The sequence below is a fragment of the Homo sapiens genome, chromosome X, assembly GCF_000001405.40.
Source record: "Homo sapiens chromosome X, GRCh38.p14 Primary Assembly".
Taxonomy (NCBI): domain Eukaryota; kingdom Metazoa; phylum Chordata; class Mammalia; order Primates; family Hominidae; genus Homo; species Homo sapiens.
The window spans coordinates 69,148,350-69,152,906 of record NC_000023.11 but is presented as its reverse complement, the minus strand read 5'-3'; the positions used below and the strand labels follow the sequence as shown (position 1 = coordinate 69,152,906).

Sequence of the window (4,557 nt, the reverse complement as noted above, 5' to 3'; positions counted from 1 at the left end):
GATAATAACCTCACAGGACTGCTTCAAAGAGGGCATGAGGGACTAGTGCAGTGGCCGTACACAGGAGGCACTCTAAAAGTGCCATTTCCTTCCTATATTTATTAAGTACTTCCTTTTGTGGAGCACTGGGGAATCCAAAAGTGACTTAAATGGTCTCTGCCCTCAGTCTCATGGGTTAGTTCCCTTGGCCACTAGCCCAGGCTTAACCTTGAGCCCTGCTTCTGACCAGCGGAATTCTGGCCTGTTCCTGGAGTTGCTGATGCTGCCTCAGGGCCTGTTTGATGCCTGAGGCTCAGGCTTCCTTTTGCCTTTGTAGCCTCAGCCCAGTGACAAGAGCCCACAGTCTGATGACAGTCCTTCCTGGGCAGCCTGCCAGCCTGTTTAAACACTTCCCTAAGTATCATCTCAGTGAATTTTCACAGCAGCTGTATAAGGAAGGTGCTCTGATCACTAGTCTCAAAGATACCTGCCTTCAGGTCTTAGTTTTGCACTTCACTTGCTCTGTGACCTTGGGCAAGAGCCTGAAGTGCTCTGTGCCTCAGTTTTCTCATCTGTAAAATGGGAGTTAAATAATAGTAGCTCCCTTTGCAGGGAGCAGGTGCATAGGACAGTGCCTGGCACATATTAAGCTCTCAGCACTTGCTAACTGCCATCCTTAGGAAACTGAGGCTCAGAAGGGGGAATGACCTGTTCAGGGTCACATAGCTAGGAAGCAGCAGAGCTGGAGCTGCTACTCCAGCCTTCTTGGCAGTAACTGTTATGCTACCCTTTGCTTCCTATCCTTTGGATTTCTGGATGCTGCACCTGGAGGTCCTATGACAGGCCTCTGCCAGCTAATGAGGACTCGGTTGGATTTGCTTATGCTGACTTCTTGACAGGACCATGGCAAGCTCCTGCTGTCATATTCTTGCAATCCAACCCACTGCTTCCCAGCCTAGCCTGGCCTCCCCCTGGACTCCTGGAACTTGGTTTATGGTCAGGCCTTGCCTCACTGCATATTTTAAATAATAAAATTAACAATGCGAATAGAACACTGTGCTAGCTGGCACTTTAAAATATCAATGTAGTCAACCCTGAGATTAGCCCTATGAGGTAGGTGCTATCATCACCCGCATCTTCCACACAAGAAAACAAGCACAGGGAGATTAAGTGACTTGCCCAAGGCCACACAGTTATAAGTGGTAGAGCCACTTGTATTTTTAGTAGAGATGGGGTTTCACCATGTTGCCCAGGCTGGTCTCGAACTCCTGACCTCAGGTGATCTGCCTGCCTTGGCCTCCCAAAGTGCTGGGATTACAGGCGTGAGCCACCACGCCTGGCCTGAATACCTGCTTTTAACCATCGTGTTCTGGCTCGTCTTGTTGGCCCCATCCCACTGCAGCGAGCCCAGCTGTGCCTGACAGAAAACTCCATGGGACTGTGAACCAGATTGGATTTATTCACAGCCAAATCTTCAGTGGCTAGCACAGTGCCTGGCACATGGTAAGGGCTTAATAAAAAGTTGCCGAATGAGTAAATGAATGAAGGAAGCTGACATAGGGTCGTGGCCACAGGGAAGAGAGATGAGACAGATTTGAGAGATAAGAGGGAACTGAACAGATTGGGAGACCAATCCAAATGGTGATATGAGGAAGTCTTGGATGACTCCCAAGATTTTGGCTTGGGTGGCTGAAAGATGAGGTCATTTACTGAGATAGGAGCCATATAGGAGAGACCGAATGCACGGGTGTGGAAAGTGGCATTGATGAATTCAGGTTAGGATGTGTCAAGTGCGAGGTGCCTTTGAAACATGCAAGGGATGTCCAGGAGGCTTTGGGATCCAAGTCTTGGAGTTTAGAAGACGGATTTGGGCCTCCTGCCCAGCCCTCTCCCACTGCCCCTTCCCCTTCAATCATACACTAAACCACTGGCCCAGCGGCTTTTACTCTTCCGACTGGGAAGGAAAGGAAGGAATCTTTGATGGTGGGAATGGGAGGGGGCTAGACTTTTCTAAACCAAACAAACGCATACACAGTGCCTGCTTGTTGCGTATCAGCTTGCCTGGCTCTGGGTACATGTAGGCTGGCTTCCAGGGCCGACCTCCCCCAACCACCCACAGGCCCCTGCCGCCTGCTCCCTGCCAAGGTGAGCTCTGACAGGGCGACTTGTCATCTTTTCAACACCTCATTTTTCCCTCCTTACTCACTGCCCAGGGAGAGGTCTTTCCTGTTTGCACACCTCAGGGGCTAGGCCAGGAGGAGGAACAAAAACAGCCTTCATGGTGGAGGGGGAGGGGAGGGAAGGGCAAAAGGAGAGGGGTGAGGGAAGAGGAAGAGAGGGAAGAGATGGGGTGAGGAGCGTGGGGGGGAAGAAAAGAAGGTAAGAATCCACCTTTTGCCTCCCCCTACCCTCCAGCCCATCACACCCAACCGCACACCTCTCGCTGGCTCTCTCTCTCTGGGGAGGCTGATTCCCAAGTCAACCCAAGGTGGTCAGGACCCGAGCTGAGTTTGGAAACTAGCTGTCACGTCTTTCCTACCTCCAGAAGAGGTTTGGACCTAGAGTTGCCCATCCCCAAACCCCTTGCTCAGTTTTCACCCCAGCAGGCCTAGGCCCAGGGCCTTTTTCCCCCGGCTTCCCCACCGTTTTTCTCCGGGTCTCCAGGTCAGAGGGTCAAGGCTCTTCCGGCGCCCCCTCCCCGTGCCGGCAGGGCCCGCCACCTCCTCGGAGCCCCGCCCCTCCGCGGCCGACCAGCAGGTAATCCCCTCCCCCTTCCTGCCCCCGGAGCTGCAGCCCCTTCCAATTAGCCCATGCTCGGAGTCCCTAGGCTGGGACCCGCTTCTCCCCTCCCGCCCCTCCCCCACCCGGCTCCCACGTGGGGAGCCCGGCTCCCAGGCCTCGGCGGCCCCATTCACAGCGCCCTCCTCCATTGTCCTCGCACTGTCACTCACGCATGGTATTAGCATTTCTAAAGCCCCCTTCTCCCTGTCGCCGCTGTGGCCCAGCCTGGGCCAAGGAACTTAGCCCTATAGAACAACTAACAATTAGAACTAACCTTCAAGAGCACTTTAGAGTATATAATTCACTTTTCTATATAGCCATTTCATTTACTTCTCACAACAGCCCTTAGTGATGTGGGACACTGACATCCACAGAAGTTCAGTGAGTTGCCCAAGGCCACAAAGTAATTTCCAAACCCAAAATTTCAACTTAGGTTTGTCTGATGCTAGAGGACACATTCTTTCCACTACACCATCTTGCCTCTCTGTCAGGCTGAGCTTGCTTCTGCTTGACTGAGCTCTCTTAAAAGGTGGGCATGGCCGGGCATGGTGGCTCACGCCTGTAATTCCAGCTCTGTGGGAGGCTGAGGTGGGTAGATCACCTGAGGTCAGGAGTTTGAGACCAGCCTGGCCAACATGGCGAAGCCTGTCTCTACTAAAAAAATACAAAAAATTAGCCAGGCATGGTGGCTGGCGCCTGCAGTCCCAGCTACTTGGGAGGCTGAGGCGGGAGAATCGCTTGAACCTGGGAGGCAGAGGTTGCAGTGAGACGAGATCTTGCCACTGCACTCCAGCCTGGGTGACAGAGTGAGACTCTGTCTCGAGAAAAAAAAAAAAAAAGGTGGGCATGGTGGCTCGCTACTCCTGGGGAGGGCATGCTGGATCCAGCCTGCAGAGGAGGGCCTGGGTTGTTTCCCTGCTGCCACTAACCGAGAGGCTCATAGGTGGTGCCTCCTTCAGGCCACAGCCTGGGCAAGACAGCTTGGCCTAAAACGCTGCATGGGGAAGTGGTTAAGGACACCGGAGCCAGATGGCCAGCTTCATATCTCAGCTCTGCCACTTGGCAGCTGGGTAGCCTTAGATAGGTGACTTAATGTCTCTGTGCCTCAGTGTTCCCTATGTAGTGAGGAGGATAATCATGATACCTACCTGATAGGGGTGTGATGAGCATTAAATGAGATAATATGCATAAGGGACATAGAACAGTGCCTGGACAGTGCCATGAGCCTGTTAGTATTATTGTGTGCTTGTCCACAGTTCTCTTGGGGTCAGGGGCAGCATAGTGTGAACAGAGGATAACTTTATCATCACACAGCCTAGGATTCAAATCCTGGCTTTGTCATTTAGTAGCCTTGTGTGTCTTTGGATAAATGACTTTCACTCTCTGGGCCTCAGCAGTAAAATTGAGATAATTATAGTTCTCACTTCTCAGAGTTGTTATGAAGATTAGTATTTGCACAAGTGTTTTCTCAAAAAGTAGAATGCTATAAACTATAAGCTTTAAAAATTATTATTATTAACTTTGCTCAAGATCCTACTCAAGATCTTTACATCCTTTGCCTCTTCCATTCTCACCTCTGACTCAGAGATTCCTTCCACCCCTCCTGGGCACTGGTTGCTTCCCAGTGCCCAATCTACCCTTGAACCATAGTAGACAAAACATTTTCTGAGCCTCTCCACTGACACTGAACATGCAGAAGATAGCCGAAAGACATGATAGTCTCCACGTTTGTACCCCTGTTTTCCTCTGGGTGGGGAGATAACCCTTCACATGTGCTCAACATGCTCAACACTTTGA

The 4,557-nt window shown here is 51.5% G+C and overlaps 1 annotated feature.

The window, feature by feature from the left end:
- Positions 1,565-2,764: an enhancer, noted in NCBI's record as "P300/CBP strongly-dependent group 1 enhancer chrX:68369986-68371185 (GRCh37/hg19 assembly coordinates)". NCBI's record gives its function as "activates an origin of replication core promoter dependent on BRD2, BRD4, P300/CBP, MED14 and CDK7 cofactors, with strong dependence on P300/CBP, by STARR-seq in HCT116 cells {active_cell/tissue: HCT116}" and the evidence as "EXISTENCE:reporter gene assay evidence [ECO:0000049][PMID:35650434]".